The sequence below is a fragment of the Homo sapiens genome, chromosome X (genome assembly GCF_000001405.40).
Source record: "Homo sapiens chromosome X, GRCh38.p14 Primary Assembly".
NCBI classification, from domain to species: domain Eukaryota; kingdom Metazoa; phylum Chordata; class Mammalia; order Primates; family Hominidae; genus Homo; species Homo sapiens.
The window spans coordinates 100,820,311-100,842,136 of record NC_000023.11 but is presented as its reverse complement, the minus strand read 5'-3'; the positions used below and the strand labels follow the sequence as shown (position 1 = coordinate 100,842,136).

General features: G+C 38.8%; 1 protein-coding gene and 1 non-coding gene across 5 annotated transcripts, besides 3 other annotated features; one reads left to right on the top strand and one right to left on the bottom strand.

Annotated features, from left to right (window-relative positions):
• On the bottom strand, positions 617 to 21,746 carry CSTF2 (cleavage stimulation factor subunit 2). Of its 4 annotated transcripts, NM_001306206.2 has the most exons (15): positions 21,663 to 21,746; positions 20,532 to 20,610; positions 19,717 to 19,886; positions 18,709 to 18,845; positions 18,132 to 18,251; positions 17,880 to 18,017; positions 15,380 to 15,503; positions 14,035 to 14,097; positions 11,270 to 11,329; positions 10,481 to 10,622; positions 9,228 to 9,403; positions 8,665 to 8,957; positions 4,688 to 4,798; positions 3,773 to 3,898; positions 617 to 1,423 (listed from the first exon to the last, which is right to left on the bottom strand). In NM_001306206.2, exons 1-14 carry the CDS (start codon positions 21,718 to 21,720, stop codon positions 3,776 to 3,778), a joined length of 1,794 nt encoding a protein of 597 aa, NP_001293135.1. In that variant the 5' UTR covers positions 21,721 to 21,746; the 3' UTR covers positions 617 to 1,423; positions 3,773 to 3,775. The 4 variants fall into 4 exon arrangements, with proteins under 4 accessions (NP_001293135.1, NP_001316.1, NP_001293138.1 ...); NM_001325.3 differs by lacking the exon at positions 11,270 to 11,329; NM_001306209.2 differs by lacking the exon at positions 11,270 to 11,329 and having other exon boundaries at positions 15,380 to 15,452.
• Positions 12,078 to 12,197: an enhancer, noted in NCBI's record as "active region_29805". NCBI's record gives its function as "activates an Ori minimal core promoter by ATAC-STARR-seq in GM12878 lymphoblastoid cells {active_cell/tissue: GM12878}" and the evidence as "EXISTENCE:reporter gene assay evidence [ECO:0000049][PMID:35858748]".
• Positions 12,208 to 12,317: an enhancer, noted in NCBI's record as "active region_29804". NCBI's record gives its function as "activates an Ori minimal core promoter by ATAC-STARR-seq in GM12878 lymphoblastoid cells {active_cell/tissue: GM12878}" and the evidence as "EXISTENCE:reporter gene assay evidence [ECO:0000049][PMID:35858748]".
• LOC124900498 (small nucleolar RNA SNORA9) lies at positions 19,385 to 19,517 on the top strand. Its single transcript, XR_007068429.1, has one exon. It is a non-coding gene; the product is annotated as a small nucleolar RNA SNORA9 (small nucleolar RNA).
• Positions 21,515 to 21,674: an enhancer, noted in NCBI's record as "active region_29803". NCBI's record gives its function as "activates an Ori minimal core promoter by ATAC-STARR-seq in GM12878 lymphoblastoid cells {active_cell/tissue: GM12878}" and the evidence as "EXISTENCE:reporter gene assay evidence [ECO:0000049][PMID:35858748]".

Here is a 21,826-nt window from a genome sequence, read left to right as displayed (position 1 = left end):
TACCTTAATCAACAAATTTCTTATAAATGTTTATATGAGTAGAAAATCCCTCAATTTCATTGTCACTCAAAAAGTTGATTATCTTTGCATTCTTTTGCTTGACATGTAAGCAATATGCTATTACATTCTCTAAGCCTATGCCAGGCTTTTAATTCACCTGACCATAATCCTAACCCAGGGGATAGAATTCCAAGAATATAAATTGGCTCAAAAGTAGTTCCAGTAGAACTTTACTGATTATTAAGGCAACTCTTAACCTCTTGAGGTTGGCCTGATAGAGAGAAACCATGTTCCTCCTTAATGCCACTACGAGAGAGATGGGGTTGGGGTGGGGGGAGAGGAGGAGGCGGCGGCGCGGCGAGAGAGAGAAATACTAGGCAATAAGACCCATAGATTAGAGCTAATGGCACTAATTATGTTCATACCTATCCGCAAGGAAGCAGGCAGGAGCAGACCTAATGAGCAATCTGACTGTGCTCTACATTTGGTCCACTTAAAATGAGAAGAATGTACAAGTTTTAGGGTTTTCTGTGTTGTAAGTTCCCAGAATAAACGTAGTTACAGGGTAGGGCTGCAGGTTAGGGACTGCCTGGAAGATAGGATGAAATGTATTTTGTTCATTTGATTTCTGTTTTTATTTCATCTTGAGCATGTGAAAAATCAGTGGCTTTTTAAACTTTCAAAGTTGACTGCCTAGACTGATAAGTTTAAGAACACACAAGTAAATGTCAACAGTCTCTTGTGTTGCTGACACACTCAAACCAGTGCTAAAACAATTTTTGTCTTAACTCTGAATTATACATGTTCAGACCTGCTATTGAAACAAATGCATTTTGATATTTGGATTTTTCTAAACTAAACACACAGCTGTGCTAGGCTCTTTGCTCTGTTAGCCTTCTGACCATTTTATAGCTCTAAGCATGTGATATTTTCTCCTAGAAGACTCCGAAGTGCTAGAATATTTTCAGAGGGCAAAGCCTTATAATAATTCTTACTGGAAGCAAACTAAACAAAAACCAAGTTCCAGAAAACATTGCTTCTGAGAAATTCTCAAATATCATCAAGAAGAATAAGTGGTTAACTTAAAAACAAAACTATGGCAATATGTTAAAGTACAATACTGCAGTAAGGGTAGAAAACACATCTAAGGTTTCACCCTTAGTGTTAAGCTTTTTAAAAGCAAAAAGGTCATGTGTATCAATTTGCAGTGTACTAAAATTGTGTTCAAAGTTTATTTCAAGTCACAGAAAATATACAAACTAAGACAATAAAATGAAGTGATTTTGTTCTGAGAGAAGGTGATGGGAGTCCTCCACCTGGCACTGATTTGAGTCATTCAAGGGTTAGGATGCAGGTCATCTTTTTTCAATATTTCAACAAAATTATAGAATTTCCAGATTTCTTGCCAGGTATTTTTGAAAACCTGTAAGAAGAAGTTAGGACAAAGCCATTAGAAGTGAAGACAAAGCTCTCTTCCGGAAAAACTTCAGGAAAAAAAATAAAAAGGCTAGGGGAGGGAGGACAGGCATATAATCAAATCACCAGGACAGATTTGCAAAGTATCTGTCTCCTGCCTCCTGACTCCTCAAAGCAATCAGCCCTTGCAGCAGGGTTTCTCAACCTCAGCACTACTGACATTTTGGGCTGGAGTACTAGTTGCTATTGGGAAGTGGGTGAGGGGGACCATCCTGTGCATTATGGGATGTTTAGCAGTATCTCTGGCCTCTACCCACTGAATGCCAGTAGCATGCCATACTCCCTAAAGTTGTGATGACCAAAAACGTCTCAAGACAATGTCACCTAGGGGGCAAAACTGCCCTTGTTTGAGAACCATTCATCTCTAATGACAACAGTATAGAAGCCTGTCCATGATGGCAGAGATGGATCACAACTAGCTAGGTATAGGATGGAGGAAAACCCAACACTTTAGCCATGGTATGCACAAACACCAGTAGACACACAATAAAATCTTGCCCACATAAAATTGCATAGAACCACACATACATATACACAAATCATGATAGTTTTTTTAAAATGGTGAAAACTGAGTTTGCAGTCAAGTTAACAGTAATGTGCCAATGTCAATTTCTTGGTTTTGCACTACACTGGGTGAAGGGTACATGAGACTCCTTGTACTATTTTTCCAACTTTCCTTGAGTCTATGATTATTTAAAAATAAAAGGTAAAAAAATAGACAAAAACTTTGCCTTGTGGTTAATATGCAAGGCCTTAAATTAAACATCCTATAAGCAAAACTATAATGAAAGAAATTTCAGAAACATTTCTACCTCTACTATCCAGAAACAGTAAGGAGTAATTTTCTCACATTGTAGGGAATGCCTTCTCTGGCTTAAGTAAATTAGTAAAAGAAATAATTTTTATTTATTCCTCTGAATGTAATAGGTAGTCTATACTTTTACTAAAAAAAAAGAATATGTGGGGTTTGTGGAATAAAACGTTAAGGTACCAAAAGTCTACTGAGCCTTCTATCTATGATAGCTTCTCATTAATTCATTTAAGGTCTAAATACATATATGATGCATAGTCGCAGTTTAAATGTTTAAAGACATCACAAGTATGGATTAAAATGATATATTTTGTAAGAGTGGTAATTATTAATAGTTAAATGAGTTCACTATTATATAACATAAGAATAGGAATTATAATATGGATGGGGTAAAAAGTAGAAATTTAAATTGTGCTGTCCTACCTGATAGTGGGGCAACATGAATTTTAAACTGTTTTTAGAAAAAAGAACTGTTTATAAAATACAAAATGCTGGGGAAATTTTTTTTAAAAAAGAAACACTGATACATGTATGTGTAATCAAGTTGTCACATGATTATTTATGAAGCAGGTTACCTGGATCCTTTTTTTTTTTTTTTTTTGACACAGAGTCTCACTCTGTGACCCAGGCTAGAGTGCAGTGGCATAATCATGGCTTACTGCAGCCCTGACCTCCTGGACTCAACCAGTCCTCCCACCTCGGCCTCACAAGTAGCTGGAACTATAGGCGCATCTCACCATGCCTGGCTAATTTTTTAAAAAATTTTTGTAAAGATGGGGTCTCACTATGTTGCTTAGGCTGGTCTTGAACTCCTGGTCTCAAGTAATCCTTCCACCTCAGCCTGCCAAAGCTGAGATTACAGGGCTCAGCCACTGTGCTTGGCCCCTGGATTCTTTCTGCCTAAATGATGAGCAAGAAAAATAAGGGTAGCAGGGTACAGCGATCTCCAAAATATATAGAAACTGATGGTGATGACGGACATTTACTACCTTAAATTATGTGCTACTATAGTTCAACATCAAAATATTCCCTATAAAATAAATACAAGAAACAAAATATTTACACATTTTATTGAAATGCTTTGTATTTTTCCATTTTGACAGGACAGTTTGGAATAAAATAATACAATTGATTGTAGAAGGATACACACCAAACTATATTTAGAGGTTTTGTCTGGGGAATGAGATTGAGGAAACAGGGCTTTTTACCTTTCACCTTCTACATTTCTGTATATGATTACTTTTGTTAAACTGATCATACATTACCTTTGTCATTAGGAAAGATTATAAGCAATTCAACAACTGAACAAACATTGTATAGCCTTACTCTATCCCTACAGGAGCTGACCTACTGAAGGGTAAAGAAGAGTCTAGCTGAGTGGATTGAGGGCCGCTGAGAGAACAATCTTGTTGGTTAAGGTTAAAAGTATATACCCAGAATAGACAAGGAGCTAGTCCTACTCAGATGGGGATTAAGTTTGCTCACCTATCAAGGTGCTCCAGTGGATTTCTGTATTTGTTCCTTTAAAATCAGGATACTCTGCCTTTGCTCAGGAGGCAACATGGCAATCTGGTCTGCAGTCAGTTGTAGAACCTGCATAATCAAAGCAGCCTGTGCAGAGGAAAAAAAAAAGGTAGTGAGTTTTAATGATGGCAGCTAAAAAATACAAAACAAAACAAAAAACCCACCACCAGCTTCTGTCCAAAAAGCTACTGTAGTGGGATATGAAGCAAAATGGAAAAAGGAAGAACATTTCACACAGAAAAAAACCAACAGCCCCCCTCCAAAAAAAATAAAAAATAAAAAAAAACTGGTGAGAAAAGGTACAATGAAAAGAACAAGTATAAATTAAAATACCTAAGATTAGACGATTCAAAACAGACAACTTCATGAACTCAAAGTTCCTGGAGACTAAGATGGTATCTGTGAGCCCTGGAAATCCTTCAAGTTTTAATCCTGTTTTGAAAGTCTCTCTTTTTCACAAATTTTAGCCTTTCCATCAGACATAAGCTCCCCACAATGGTCAAATATAAAAACAGAAAGATATAATCATGGGGAATCTACTATTGTTTTTAGGGATAAAGTAGAAAGGGAAGGAAAAAGGGTGTGGATTTTCAGGTCAATCTGGCCTGAACAAGAAAAACCTGCTATTGGCAGATGAGTGTGAAATATAAAATAAGCTGCCATTTACATCCACTTAAGAACTTCACATCCATTAGGAACTTCAGGACCAGACTCACAAATTTTCAGGTAACAAGATCATAAAAGAGTTCTAAGTTAGAATAAACATCACCTCCAAAGGGACTTTGAAGACCCAGGATCGTCACATGGTAACTGTGAAAAGAGGAATCAAAAAGGCTAGAATTGTGCATAAGGAGGCAGTCAGACAGTGTTGCTTACCTTCTCATGATCCTGTGGAGTGACTTGGTTCTGCCCGGGACTAAAGCCGCCAGGCTGGCTTCCACCCTGTATACTTGCTCCTTGCATTCCTGTTCCCTGCATGACTGGGACCTATGTGTACAAAGAGAAAAGAGAGATTTTTGGCATTTTTAATGTATAGGTAACCTGAATTCAGTAATAATGTGACAAATTATGATCTCTATACAGATATGAGTAAAAAAAGCAAATCAATGACTCTGAAGATCATTTTCTACTGTTAGCAATAGCAGAAGGCAGGGTTTAGCCAGAGATCAACTAGCAAGTTCGACATACTTGCTTACAACACCTCCAGCATCATCAACAAATATTACACAGCACAACTGGATACCACTGAATTAATCAAAATTCAGCCAAATAAGCACAGTGAAAACTGAGAACACCCTGGAAACTAGTGCTCACTGGAAATACAAATGAAAGCCAACAGAGTCTAGAGAAAATGTATGCTGGTCCACTGGGGAAGTTACATTCACAGGGCCACCCCCTACCCTAGTTCAATCAGATACAGGTAGTTTGTCCCAAAGGGCCCTATCCCACAAGTGAGGCAGAGATGTTCATAATGTCAGAGAGGCAGAAAGGCAATGGGAAGGCCTCCAGGAAAAAGACTGCTATTAGCCCAACATTTGCTGTTTATAGCTTTCCATAGAGAACATATGGCAGATGCTTTCTGCTAAATGTAGACCAAAAAATATGACTGACTGGAGTGAAAAAACCAAGTACAGTGATATCATACTTACTGGTACTTAAGATCTTCAATGAGTTCAACCCTTTGCAAGACTACCAGAACCCAAGGAAAAGACCTCTTGAGTACCAAATCTAACTGTTAGAATGTCCCTATACAAGCATTATGTTCACACTCAGGCATTCACCCAGAGCTTAGGTACTCTCTTAATAAACACATATTGTTAACAAACTTGTTACCTGCTTACCCAGCAGATTAGAAGCAGCAAAACATAAAAGAAATACGGATAAATAACTGTTAGGAGCAGATACCACTTCAGTAATATGAAGAGCCAGGTGACGGCCTGACAGTGAAGGAGACCAGAAACCAAACAGGAGATAACTATGTTTTATATTACGGTATAGACAATAATGAATCTATTCAATGATGACCTTGAGTAGTCAAAACTGATTAAACTATTTTTTTGTATCCTGTTCAAGAAAGGAAATATCAAATACTTTTTATAATTTTTTATTAAAAAAGTTAAAAAACTTGGTAGAATAGTTCTATTATCTGGAACATTCACTTACATGCATTAACTCATTTCCCAAAGACAATGGATAGATGAAACATTAGTACAGATTTGTATAGACTGCTAGAATATTATCACTGTTCTGTTCATTATCAATACTGAAACCAGAGACAAGTTTCCAGAGACCAGTCTGAACATTAACGAGCTATTATGGGTCTGAAACACCTATGAGTATAATCTTTTTTTTTAAAATTTTTTATTTCCATAGGTTATTGGGGAACAGGTGGTGTTTGGTCACATGAGTTTATAGCAGCACAATTCGGAATTGAGTATAATCTTTTTGAAGCTTTAATCTGAGGTACTGTAATTGTGATCTAACCACTCAATAACGGCCATTTTAAGTTTCTAGGTGTGCTTGTTCTAGGCAGACAAGTACTAGCAAAAGTGACCATACATCTTGGTTTCCCTAAGATAGTCCCAGTTTATGTTTTTGCCTCCAAGTAAAGTAACAGCACTTTCTTTCATGTTCTCCTTTAGATGATAAATTATATAATCACCCTAGTAATAATAAGCCTTTTGCCCACAAGTTTCTAACTAAGTGGACTAGAGTTAATTTTAAAATCTAATTTAAAAGTATGAATTAAGGACATGTTGTTAAGTTAAAAAAAAAAAAGGTATAGAACAGTGAAAGGGGAAAAATAATATATATTCATGTTTTCCAGAAAGTAACATGAAAAATCTAATAAAAGTGATTATCTACAGGACCTAGAGGGCCACAGGGGAGACAAGCATAGGAGAGGAAGCAAGGTTCCTTTTAGTTTAAGATGTGGTCTCACTATCTTGTGTAGGCGGGCCTCCAACTCCTGGGCTCTACTGATCCTCCTGCCTTAGCCTCCAGAGTAGCTGGGACTACAGGATTCTACCCTGGCTTTTTTTTTTTTTTTAAAGATGGGAGTCTAATATGCTGCCCAGGCTGGAGTGCAGTGGCTAGTCACAGGTGCGATCAGAATGCACCACAGCCTCAAGTTCCTAGACTTAAATGGTCTTCCTGCCCCAGCCTCCAGAGTGCTGGCACTACAGGTGCATGTCACCATGCCTGGCTTGAAGTTCTTAATACATATATCTTTTATAGATGAACGAATATATATATTTATAAGTTAATATATTAATTTAAAATTTTTTTAAAGGTTTGAAGATAAAATTTGTATTTTCTCTTGCCTCAGATCTAATTGGCTTTATCGAATCTACTAATAAAAATGGTATAAACCTAGTATTAGGGTAATAAGTTCAAGTACCAGCAGAGAGAAAGGAGCAAAATATTATCCAGAAATGTTCTTCCAACCCTTACTTGCAATGTCTTGCATCATAGAACTACCAGTAAAATTATGTAAGCGCATTATGTAGTTATTTGTTTGTTATCTGTCTTCCCAACTAGAATGTAAGCCCATGGGGGAAGGGGCTTTGTTCTGTTCACACTGCAGTATCCCCCGTACCTAGATCTATGTTTGGTACATAGTAGGTGCTCAATAAATATTTGCTGAGTGACAGAATGAATGCATAAAAACCATTTCTGTTACTAGGCTACTGACCATAGAGAGTACAATAAAAATCAAGGCCCACAAACACTTCAAACACAATAGAGAACAGTTTTATTCTACACATAGCAAAAAAACCCTCTATTTGTATTTCATATTACAGAGGAGGGGGTAGACACATATCCACACATATACACACACACAAATGTGCAGATAACAGGACAGAGTAGTAAAGTGGAAAAAGTAGTGGCTTCTGTTCCTTGCTCTGCCACTTTTTAGTCATGTGAATTTGGTCAAGTCACCTGAATTCTTGGGCCTTAATTTCCAAATCTATAAACTGAGGGAATTAGATGATTGATGTATTCCATTCCAGCTCTGCCATTATCTTTCTCTCTCTCATACACACAGACATGGGGAGGAAGACACATAAAAAAAGAAGAGAGAAGTACGCAGAGGAAGGGGGGAAAAGGAAGGTGGAGCAGTTAGAGGGAAATGAAGGTGCCAGCATATAAAAACTCACGGAAGAAACACACATACCACCTCTCCACAACCAAGTCGAGATGAAGAGGGAGCATGTACACACAGGCAGAGAGATCCAAATAAAAGAGAGGAGACAAGACTTCGGTTCCACACCTTTTAAGGTGATTATTAATAAACTGCCTTTCACATTCCACTGTTCACTTAGGCTATGTGATGACAATAAATTAACACAGGTCTCTCTAAACCTAAGATTATCTAAATGGCCACTAACAGCTCTTCATATACTCTAACCCAGTGGTTCCCAGTCAGGGTTCACATTAGAATCATTTGGGGGAAGTTTTTCAAACTATCCATGCTCAGATCCTACTAATAAGAGATTCTGAGTTATACCTCGGATGAGATCCGGGCAAGTATATCTTGGAAAAAACCGTGTACATGATGTTGGTTTGTACCCCAATCAAGACTACTTTCTAACCCCTAAATTTTCAGGGGCTCTGCTCCAAATGAATAGCTATTTATTGTGGGATAAGGTTGTTTTTTTTTGAACTACAATCCTGATAGCCAGAAAATCACCACCCTAAGGGACAGAGAAGCTACAGGGAGATCCAAGTCTTCCCTTTCTAACAAGCTAAGAAACAGCCCAAGTCAGAAGGCAGTAATAATTAGGCTCAATAATCAATTCCTGAATAGATCAAGATTTCACTTGGATGCCAGAAGTCAGTGTTACACATACCTGTCTGGATCCCTGGGGGACAACCGCCCCCATGTTAATTGGACTGGGACCCTGCATTCCACTAGGTATAGGTCCTCTGGGGCCAGGCACTGGGCCTCTGGTATCCATGCCTCTGGCCTCCATCCCTCGGACTTCCATTGCACGGGCCTCCATCGCTCGGGCCTCCATTGCACGAGCTTCCATCGCACGGGCCTCCATTGCACGGGCCTCTAATCCTCTGGCATCTAACCCTCTTGCCTCCATGGCTCGGGCCTCCATCCCTCGTGCATCTATTCCTCGGGGATCCCTTCCACCTATAAAGAAAAATGTAACAAAACCATTATGTAGCTACTTGCATGTACTGCAAGAATGATGAACAATCCAAGAAAGATAGAAATCTCTTCTAGTCACATTTGTCCCCTCAGCTATTAACATATGAGACTATTGTCTCCTCCCCAGTTTCTCAGATTTGTGGATAAACCTTAAAGATGCTTGCAAACCTACTGTTCCAGCATTCTTTATCCCAGATTAGAGCCTAAGACAGTTGAGTTCATTATGGCATTTGCAATGTGATCTCCCCTTACCTCTGCCATCCAAGGGTGGACCCCTCTGATCTAGCATGGGTCCTCTTGGTTCTGCCATTAGAGGTCTGGGCTCGGGTAATGGCCCTCCCCTCAGTTCATGTGGGGGTGGTCCTCGGCTCTCATGGCCAGGGACATGGTGCATGGGTGGACCCTGATGAGGTGGTCCCAAGTAACCTCTGGAGATGGAGAAAAACGTTGTATTTTAAAATAGAACAAAACAACAACAAAGTACCAACCAGATCAGTAAGTAAACATCCAACAAAGAGCTGATGTAGTCTATGAATACTAACAAGAAAATAACACCAAATAGATGGAAGAAAAGCTACAGAGATATAAATCCATGTATTCTAGAATTTCGTTATTTGGTTCATAATTAGGGAGGAATCAACGAATATTCATTATATGTATGAGTTTGCAGAACAATGCATAAGAACATGAGCTCTGGATTCAGACTGTATGGGTTCAAATCTAGGCTCTATCACTTATTAGCTGTGTGATATTGGACACATTATTTAACTTTTCCACACATCAGTTTCACGTGTAAAATGGGACTAATAATGGTATCCATCTCACAGGATCTTGTGGATTTAATAAGATGATCTAAGTAAAGTACTCAGAGCAGAGTCAGAGGCATGATCCCCATTAATGTCAATTATTATTACTATCATTATTTTATTTATTTATTTACTTTTGAAATGGAGTTTCACTCTTGTTGCCCAGGCTGGAGTGCAGTGGCATGACCTCGGCTCACTGCAACCTCCACCTCCTGGGTTCAAGCGATTCTCCTGCCTCAGCCTCCCCAGTAGCTGTAATTATAGGCGCCCGCCACCACGCCCGGCTAATTTTTCTATTTTTAGTAGAGATGGGATTTCACCATGTAGGCCAGGCAGGTCTCGAACTCCTGACCTCAAGTGATCCACCCACCTTGGCCTCCCAAAGTACTGGGATTATAGGCGTCAGCCACTGCACCCGGCCTATTATTGCTATTATTAATATTTCCACTACTATAAATTTCCCTGTTCAAGTATGTATACTAAAATTTCCAATTTCTAAAAATATAATAGCTCAAAATGACATACTCAAGTACATAGTTCTGCCTTAGGAGAAGTGCTTACCCTTGGACAGTGGCCATGAATATTGATCTACCTTTTGAAGTAGGCAAACAGGTACAACTGGTACAGAAAGATTTTGTTCTCAGGGAAGAAGGGACAATTCTGATTTCTTCAACTGTTTCCTTCTATGTTAGTGCTTACCTAGGCTCTACCTCTCCAGTTACAGAAAGTAAAGTGCCTCCCCGTGGATCATTCGGAGCATCTCCTAACAAGCCTCGAGGGGTTGGGACATTCGCAGGCAAGGATCCCCGCTGCATAGCTGCTCTGGGGTCTTGCATCGGCACTGACAGGGAAACAAACGGGGAGTTACTGCTGTGAAAGACACATAAGCAAACAAGAAATGACTCTATATACCACTGACAACATAATTCAGACACCTTAGAGTGGGTGAAACCTCACCACAGCAGAATCCTCTTGCAGCTCAAGAACAGAAGCAGGGTGTAGGCAGAATCTGTGCCATGTCAGAGGTATGGATGGAATTATATAAAGAGCAAACTGGGGAGCAACCTGCCAAGGACTAGCACTGCGACCTGGAGAAACTTATGCTCCTGGTTTTCCTTCTAATCAATCTTAGTTCAAGGACCAGAGTCACAAAACAGAGGTAGAGTCTTGGCATATGTGAACACTGCCATGGCTCTGCAAGAACCCGCTGTCTCCTTACAGACTGCTATTCCATCCAAGCCTCCTGACACCAGTAGGGAGGGAGTACAGCCTCGGACAGATGCCCATATCATCCATGTTCTCTGCCCTGTGTGAAGAGGTCAATCTTAGGCTTGTGGCCTCAACAGGAAAAAATTAAAAAAACAAAAACCCAAAAACACTACCCTTTTGGGTTCTGAACGCGAGGATGACTGCCACGCAGCTCTTTTCCTCTCAACGTCCCACCCTGAACACCACAAGCAAAAGGAAACCCACAGATACAATGGGTACCTTGAACTCGCTCAATTGATGCAGGCCCGGCGGGTCCCACGGGCGAGTGCTGTAGGGTTCCTAGGTAAGCAGTAAGTTCAAAAGGAGAAAGAGCAGACACTTAAAATAGCTTGCATACACACGCAGAAACACACACACATGGAGATTGAGATTTACATATATAAGTTAAAAAGCCAAGAGTTCATCGGCTTGCTCCAGGCTACAAAATCTCCCTAAACTACACTAGCTCCTTTGGGTCTCTGAAATAGTTCCATTTTGACCAGATAGCTTTTGAAAGGGAATCCCATGGGGGCACTGGTTTGATCTAGGTGGGAATAACCTGACATTTTCGATTTTCACCTCTGCTACTAGTTTTCCGTTAGGTCTCCTTATGAAATCATTAGGAAAAAAATATATAAAAAGGATAGTTTTGAATCTTCTAGTTATGCAAAGAACATAAATGTAGTTTCAGAAGCAAAACATAAAAGAAACTGCACTGAATCTGGAAGGCAAGATTCATTCTGAAACGGCCATAACTGAAGTACGGCAATTCTATTTTTGTCACATTTTAAAGCACAAAAATTTCTGCTGTCAAAAATGTATCAGATGGGGAAATGCAGTGAATGAACTTTACATGATGAAAGAGAATATCACTCCACAAGAAATACTCTGCCACAGCAAGTCTTTGATAATAAACATCATGACAACAGCAAACAAAGACTAATGAGATGACATGGGAACCGACACTAAACAAACATGGCAGGGAAGCAAGAAGTATCTTCTCAAACATCTCCATCTCCTTTCAGCATTAAAAGCAGCATGGATTTCAGGAAAAGTAAGACAAACTAGGCACACACGAAAAGACTCTTGCTTCCTCTGCTGGGTACTGAAGGAAACTATAAAAGAAAGCTCATCTCACTTAGTCTCTGCATGAAGACATCCTGGAAATACCCTCAAAACATGAGTCACTTCCCTTTGCCAATTTCTGACAAAAAGGTGAAGATAACTATAATAGGAAGATGTCTTGTGCAAGTATGCGTTAAACAGCTAAAACCTGATGGATTGAGGGCTGGCCCCATGACAGGCAGAAGTATGACTGAAACCCTAATACCTTCTCATTACTGCAGAAATACTCTGGGGAACATATATGATCTATTGACAGTGGTGCGGTGGGGATAGAGGGATGTACAATAGCACAAAAGCATTGGATGCTTAGAGAAAATATGAGATATTTGGCCAGGGAGTTTGTCCTGCTGTCAGACTTCTAACAAGAAAAAGTTAATTCTGTCACTTCAGCAACCAACCCCAGTGTAAAAACCACAGGCTTGTATATTAATGTTTATGTATGTATGTGTGTATATATATGTGTGTGTGTGTGTATATATATATATTCTTTGAGACAGGGTCTTGCTCTGTTGCCCAGGCTGGAGTGCAGTGGTGCCCGATTATGGCTCACTGCAGTCTCAACCTGTTGGGCTCAAGTGATCCTTCCACTTCGGCCTCCCAAGTAGCTGGGACCACAAGTGCACACCACCATTGCCCAACTAGTTTTTGTATTTTTTATAGAGACGGGGTTTTGCCATGTTGTCTAGGCTAGTTTCAAACCTCTGAGCTCAAGCAATCCACCCACCTCAGCCTCCCAAAGTGCTGGGATTACAGGCATGAGCCACTGCGCCTGGCCAATATTTTGCTTTTTAAATGGGTTCCACTTATAAACCATATGCTACAAAAGAAAAAACCTTAAGCTTCTCTATGCTTGTCCAAAGCAGTCTTTCCCATCATTTTATTCCCAAGGAATAAGAGTAGAAGACACTGAAGAATATGCTTGGAAGTTAACAGAGGCAGTGTGGAGTGACAGAAAGAGGACAGATTCTGGAGTCAAAGACTTCTGAATCTTAGCTCTGCCACTTACTAGTTGGAAGAGAAAATAAGAGCACCAAATCCAGTCCACATTACTCATACATTAATATTTACTTACCTTGTCCCCTTGAGAAAGTAACTTATTCTGAGCTTCCAACTCTTTGCCTGTAAAACTGAGGTGCTGCCACCTAACTCACAAGATTATTTATGAAAATTAAAGTGCCTGGCATATAGTATGCACTCAGTTCCTTCTCTTTTCTTACGATCTCTCCTCCTAACATTGTTTCCAACTGAACCACTGCACTTTCTTGTCCTTCAAACTCCAGTAACATGAAGAAACAACATGGAGATTTTGGAGCAGCAGCTACTGTTGTATATAGCAGTACAGCCACGGTACAACATATGTTCATTAAGTAGGCGTTACAGACCTATGATTCCCTCCCAGTTTTCTCTGGGGTTTAAATCTAGTCTTCTACATACCCAGCCACATATTTACATGCTCATTATTAAAATTCCTTACTCAGTCAACAGATATCCATACAGGGAGAGAGAACATGTCAGTGGAATTATTAGACTAGGAATCAGGAAACAAACGATCCACTTGCTTCATTATCAATTCTTGTAGAGCTGGACTCTGAATCACCAGGTGGAAAGTCTAGACCAGCACTGTCCAATAGATCTTTTTACGATGATAGAAATGTTCTATATCTGTAATGTCCTGTATGGTATCCACTAGTCACCTGTGGCCACTGAGCACTTGGAATGTGGCTATTGTGACTGAGGAACTGAGTTTTAAATTTTACTTAATTTTAATTAACTTAATATTGAAATAGCCATGGGTGGTTAGTGGCTGCCATATTAGATACTGTGGATGTGGAACACTTCCATGACCAATTAACATTAGTCAGACATTAATATTTATTTACCTTGCCCCCGTTCCATGGACACTGGTCCACTTCCTGGCATTCCAACCTGAGCCTGCATTCCTCCTAGAAGATAAAGGGCAGACAAGAAAAAACACCAATTAGAACAGCGGAAAAGAAAAATTAGAACAGTGGCTGAGTTTACAAATTTCCTCATTCTGCTCCACAAGCAGAAACCTACAAAGGAAGATATTCAACAATGCAATGAGAGAGAAGATGGGGTTTGTTAGTATATTTACAATTTGTACTTTATGTTTCAGTGACAGAATAGTGAGTTCAATAAGAATAATTCATTTCATTGGTTACCAAACTCTTGGCAGGAAGCTCTTCTATAATACAGGAAAACAATGTCACTTACCCATGGACCTCCTGTCATGAAAGATAATTTAAATACAAGTATAACTCTATTAGGATAAAGTAGATACATAACAATCCTAAAGTAGATACAAAAAATTCCTGAGTTTGCAGAAATTTCTTCAAAAAATCTCTTCTTCCATTCCTCATCAACTTAGCTCTGCAGACTGGATTCTCTACAGAACAGAACAATTTAGAATTAAATCATTCTCCATGAGTAGTGTTGTACTCAACCTACCCTAGATTAGATAAATTAACAAAAACCAAGTTTGTTACATAAAAAAACTTTAAATATTGGTAATACATCATGTGTTCATACAGATGTTTCATATGGGGAATCATTATTTCACTCAATCTTCTTAGTTACAATTGTTGAACAAGGAACAGTTACAAGTATATGAGCAATACTCTTATTAATTGCCGATCTATACATTTTCAATAAATGTACATAGCTTTTAAATTTCTCTTTTTCCCTTTTGTTGTTTGTTCTGATTATGTTTGTTAAAATACAATTTTATGTCAGTTTAATATGCTATAACAAATGTGACCTTGTATTTTTTTGTCTGTTTTCTTCATGAGCTTTTGAACCTAATCTGACAGTTCATTCATATTTAGCAGAGTAACAACTACATTAGTTTTTATTCCTTCCATCTTACTCTACATTTATTATTACTTATTTTACACTGTCTCTTACTTTTTTCCTCTTCTCTATTTTTGCTGGCTTGATTTTGTTTCCACTCATTCCATTTTCCCCCTTGTTAACTTGGAAGTTTTACTATGCTCTTTCACTTTACTGTCCCTTTCCCTGTTCTTATAATTAGACATACAGGATTTAACGTAAGAAATCTACTATTTCCTCCACCTAAGATATATACTTTCTAGCTGTGTATTAATTTTACCTAAGGATCCCATTATCATATTTGGCTGCACTGCAACAGTGGCTATGACAAAACTTTAGCAAGTACTGAAATGGTGAAGACTAAATGAAACTTACCTCCAGGAGCTAAGGAACCAGGGCCAGGTCCTGTGACAGCAGCTGGCATTTGCCCTGGTGCTGGAACTCCACCCTGCATAGAAGCTTGCATCAGAGGAGGTGCGCCATTGACATGCATTCCACCCTGACCAAGCAAAAAAAACAGAGTATGTATATGCCTCTGTGGATACTCAATATACTAAGTCTACGACCTTAAAAGTCCTCTTCAAATGAACAGCCCCAAATACACTACTAAACATCCTTTTTGTATGGCATGTCTTATGCAGCATTAGATTTGTCACACACTTTAAACTCCACAGAAGCAATATACGTCATGAGCCTGGTTATATGGAACACGGTTAAGATGGAACATATTCTCAATGTAGAGATTGACAAGTCTTATCTGTGTGGCAAGGCAGCACATAACACCTACTGTTAACTTCATGATTGGGGCTGCCAATAAGAGTAAAAAAAAAAAAAAAAAAAAGCCCTAAACCCAAGAAACATAAAAGGAGACTGGGACTCTTTTAAAAAAAACAACTGCTGGTAGTCCACATTTTTAAAATTAAATTTTTTTTTTAATTTAACCAATCTTTTCTCACTCCTGTCCTTAGATATAATTCTGGTTTTGGGGGAATGTGAAATATATTTTTTTAAATGCTACATTAAAACTCGTTGAGAAAAAGAGAATGTCATCTTTTCATCTGTGCATTCCCCAAAAAACTGAGTAGTCCCTTGAATTAGAAACAGCTCAATAAATAAAGAATAAAAGCCAAGTTATATAAAAAAAATCACATATACGTTTAAGGAACACAAAACTCTACAAAAGAAAAGGAAGAGCTGTATAGGAAAGTAGTTAAGAGAAAACTGGCTGTGAGGTCAGATAAAACCAGGTTCAGAAATAGATCTGCCACTTATAATTGTGTCAATTTTTGGACCAGCTAACCTCTCTGGGCCTTAGCTTTTTTTTTCTATCTCTGAAAATGTATTTATTTATTTAGAGCAGGGGTTGGCAAACTATGACCCATGGGCCAAATCGGGCTCACTGCCTGGTTTTATAAACAAACTTTTAACGGAACACAACCACACACACTTGTTCACTTATTGCCTATGGCTGATTTCATACTACCATGGCAGAGTAGCTGTGGCAGATCCTGTGACTTGCAAAGCCAAAAATATTTACTGTCTGATCATTTACAGAAAAATGTTTGCTGGTCCCTGCCCTGTACCTCTGCCAACCTGAGAGATGAAAAATGGTAGCTTATTGTAGTTTCTATTTACATTATCTTATAACATTACATATATAAATGATAATTTATTACATTATCTTATTTTGAAGTTGAATAAATTTTTATATATTTATATTTCTCCTTTTGTGAAATATTTATGTCTATTTCCCATTTTTCTACTGGGTTATTGGAAATTTTCTTACTAATTTATAGGAGGCCTTTTAAAATTTATTATGAAAAATTACAGATATACAAATCATATAGAAAATAAAATAGCCACCCAGCTTAGGAAATAAATAAGTAAATAAAATAAACCAATGGCCTGTACGGTCTTCCCCAATTGCATCCTGTGCTCTCTTCTCCTTTGATGACCACTAAGACGTCTTCTTAATGTTTCAAAATTTTATATGAATCATTACATACTCAATATATTATTTTGCAACTCATTCCACATATTTTGGGGATTTATGCAGAAACATATATCCTACATTTCGGGAATGCATCCATATTCACTTAGTTTCATGTCCGTATGTCACTGTTTTGGAGTTGTGTTGATATTATGTATCCTAGTTCATCTTAACTGCTGTATGGAATTATGTTTTTCAAAGTCATTCATGTTGATACGTGTAGTTTATTTAACTGTTGTACAGTATTTCACTGGATGAATGTACCACACATTTTCTCCATTCTTCCACTGACGTACATTTAGGACATTTCCAATTTTTCACTCTAAGGCAATAAACATTCTTGTGAATGACTATGGGCTCTTTATTAGTCTGTTTTCCATCACATGTGTGGTAAATACTTTTTCTCAATTTGTCATGTCTTTGATACTTATTTTTTTCTTTATATAGAAATTTTTTAGTTTTCAAATGTATCAATTTTTTATGGCTTTAAGGTTTTGTGTCATGCTTTGAAAGCAAGCTTTACTTTTTTCATCAGTAAGAATGGAGATAATAAGAGTGCCAACCTCATACAATTGCTTTGAGGATTAAATGAGATAATGCATATGGAATAACGAAGTGCCAACCACAGTGCCAGGCATGCACATACACACAAAGTTAGCTTATAAGAAAAGGGCATACGGGAAGGATCTCTTTGTTTTACAAACTTGGAATCGAATCTATATTCATTCAGATGTCATGTGCTCTGCAACCTGGAAATTGCTTTTATGCCTGGAAATTGAAATTATCATCTCTGGTTCCTGACCATTCTTCTTTCAATATATTCTCCTAAAAAGAAAATGACATTCTAAGACAGATACAAAAAAATGTTAAGGGATAAAGCCCTACCAAAGACTGGGCCTGAGGGGCCTGAGGATTCTGCTGGTTCATTGACACATTGGATCCTGAGCCAGGCCCAGCACCATGGACTGGCTGAGGGTTGCCTGCAATCAGCGTTGGGATATTTGTCTGGCGATGCAGAATTTTCTAAAAAGTGAAAAGACAAACCTATGAGCTGTCTGTTTAACAAAGCAATCAGGTAGTTCCTATCCCATTCAAGGTTTACCCGACCATTTCCATAAAAGAACCAGAAGCACTCACCAGGGCAATTTCCGGATCCACAATTCTCATCACTACCTGTGCTTGCAGCAAAGCATAAGCCAGTTGAGGGTTCTGAAGTAACATGTTCCGTGCCTCCTGGGGACTATTCTGGACACAGAGCTGAGAAGATAAGCAGATTCAGGTTTAATACTTATGACTTAGAAACTGATAGTGATTTAGAGCCATTCCCCTCTGAGAAATGTAATATTCAAGAGGCTCTTTATCATTAGTTTTTGCATGGCACAAAAAAACCTTGGTCATGGCAGGCAAGAGAAGAAAGAGGCATTTCAAATACTGTGATATTATCATTTAGGAAAAAAGCCAAATTTTAATATCTACATCTGACATCTATGGGCCACAAAACTCCAGCTGGATTGTTTGGATAGCTGTGTTTGTGTACAAAAATAGAAAGCTCTTTGTACAAAATGTAAAATATACTGTGTACATACAGAATATTGAAGGTGCAAGAAATGGTGGTCTACAGACAATTTCTATTTGAGCTCAGGGAACTAATTCAAGTAACTCCTTGAAAACCTGATGTGATTTGCTTTATTCATAACCTAATGCCTCCTCCCACCTTCATTTGTTTCATCAGCTCAAACATCTGCTCTGGTGGAAGGCTGGCAACTGCTTTGCTAATGGACTCAGGGGCATCCTCAGGACTGATGGTCTCTCCATAAGGTGACTCAATGACAGGGGCACCAGTGCCAAGGCCTAATCAAGAAGAAAGTACAAGAAAGTTAGGGAGGCAAAACAAAAAGCTAAATCATTTCAAATATCTACTTTTCAGGGCTGCTGTAAGAACCAGCTGATAATTTTAGATTCTCCAGAGCTGAGAAATAAATGATGTGAAAGCCTCTTGTTTCTGTGGAGGAAAGTGAGAGTGTATTTTCTGTTCTCAGAGGAAAGCTGGGGATCATGATCACATGGAAGGACAATGTTAACCTAAGTTAGAGAACTAGGCACATTGACTTCTTTTAACAAGTCATTTCAGAAACAAAAGGTTAAAAGAGAAAAATACGCTAACTTCAAAAATTCCTGAAAAGAGTGACAGGAATGACTAATGCCACAGTTAGTACTACTAATGGCTTGATGAATTTGAATTCATCTTTAACTGGAAATAACTCCTTAGCAATGGAAATTCTTTTTTTTTTTTTTTTTTTTGAGACAGAGTCTCACTCTGTCGCCCAGGCTGGAGCAACTGAAGAATTTCTAATGTCAACTTTATCTGTTTCTTAAAGATATACACTTACTAGCAAGCCTCCAGCATGCTTAGGTCTGCAGTGACCCTATGCATCCCTACAGTGCTTGCCAGAACAGTTTTGAAACGGTTTGAGGCCTTGCCCTGCTCCATCCAGAGCAAGGGTATAGAAATTTCAGACAATTACTTGAAAAAAAATTTATAAAAAGTTTTTAAAAAGATATATATAATACTTGCCTAACTCAGGCACATCAGGTCAGTCAAGTAATAAACAAGCTGCGTGGCTAACCATTTCAGCATATTCTAAAACATATCAGAAATGGAAAATCTTCATTGTTACATCTTTACTAACTCATACTGCATCCAAGTTGGATTTGTACTCACTCTTCAGCTCTTCTTTGTTCTTTTCACTGGCAGCATTGTCCACTCGAAGTGCTCTCCCACTGAATTCGCGCCCATTCAGGTTCCGCATGGCACTAAGTGCTGTCTCTTGGTCTTGGTATTCACAGAAGCCATAACCCTTTGGCTTTCCTGTCTCTCTATCGTATACCAATCTGGAGAGCAGAACCAAGTGTCAGGAACAAATGTTACACACATACAGGGTTCCTGCTAACATTGCCATGCTTTAATTGGGCCCACTGTAACATAAATAACCTTATATCTCTGACAGCCTCACAGAAATATTTTTTAAAACTTTTTTTTTTTTTTTCCTGAGATGGAGTCTTGCTCTGTTGCCCAGGCTGGAGTGCAGTGGCATGATCTTGGCTCACTGCTATCTCTGCCTCCCGGGTTCAAGCAATTCTCCTGTCTCAGCCTCCTGAGTAGCTGGGACTACAGGCATGGGCCACCACGGCGGCTAATTTTTGTATTTTTAGTAGAGACAAGGTTTCACCACATTGGTCAGGCTGGTCTCGAACTCCTGACCCCAGGTGATCCGCCTGCCTCGGCCTCCCAAAGTGCTGGGATTACAGGCTTGAGTCACTATGCCCTGCCTAAAAAACATTTTTAACGAAAAAAACATATTTTAGGTAAGAATAAATGTCAATTGTATAGTGTATCAATTATATCTCAATAAAGCTGTTACAAGAACAAAATGTATGTGAAAAGTCACCAGTAAAGAAAACCTGCCATTATTACTAAGAGCCAAATCTGTGGTGATTTTTAAGAAGCTCCCACCATGAAGGAAAAGGGGATCTCACCTGAAACTAACAACAGGTCCAACCTCAGAAAAGATGTCCTTCAACTGCTCTTCAGTAGCTTCATAAGGAATGTTCCCCACTAAGGAAGAAAATAGGTAACATTAAAATTCTGAGTTTATAACATAGATCTTTAGTGAGAAAGTAAACTTATATCATCAAATATAAGACTCAAAATAGTGTTCTCCAATCCCAATTCCATTGTATTTCTTCAGACCTCTTAACAAAGGAAATATACCACTGAAACTAAATACAAAATGTGTAGGTACTCTCAAATGTTAGTTCTCAGACTGATCTGACACGTGTTAGATTTTCCTTAACTTTGGTGCAAATAAATACTTTGGCACTGGTATTTACCTAAAGATCTGCAAGTCTCATCAGTGACTACAAAAAATATCAATGTTATTTAATATAATTTTTAAAACAGGTTCCTATGTATTTCCACACATACAACATTTAAGGGAGAATGACGATGAATGTAGTGAAAGATGTTTAAAAAGTATTCTGAACTACTTTGTCATGTCCCTTTCAAATGGTACTCTAAAATAATCACACGTATTTTTAAAAACAACTTATTTCAGCCAAAAAGATAATTCAGAATCGTTTCGATCCTTTTTAAAATTCCTCTGAGGAGATCTTAATAGTTCATTCATTCATTCACTTACAAGCCATCTCAGGACACCAGGTGGCCGCTACCACTATTGATGCACTAAAATGTTACAGATAAAAAGCAAAGGATGAAAGTCCTTAGGAGAGGACAGTAAGTGGACACTAGGATCTATACCCTCAGCATATAGTCTGTATTCTGGGGCAGAGGATGAGAAGTAGTACGGGACAGTGAGGAGCTGTTACCGTGAGCCTTCTCCTCTAGAGAATAATTGAAGCTCATGAAAGGAGAAACGCACAGAAGCTGAACGCTAGTCTAACTTCCCCACTGATATTGCGGAAAGCCTACGAGACCTCGGCAGAATGGGAATATCTCTTTGCTCATGAGTCCACCAGGTTGGACGCCCTACAGGATAAGCAGGGAGAACTGCACGTCCGAACCGTCAGCGGCTCCGGTAGCGATTCATGAGATAGAAGGTGCAGAGGGGAGTCCCTCCCCGAAGCTTGACTACAACGAATTCCTCTCACCGAACACAGAACGTAGAGAACGATCCACCGCTGGGTCTCTCACAGTCAAACCCGCCATAGCTCTGTTGAGTCGGCTTCCGGTGCGCCAAAGCACACTTCCGTACGGAGCACAAGCCCAGCGCTGAGCACGCTTCCGTACGGCGCGTGAGCCGGAAGGGCCTGGG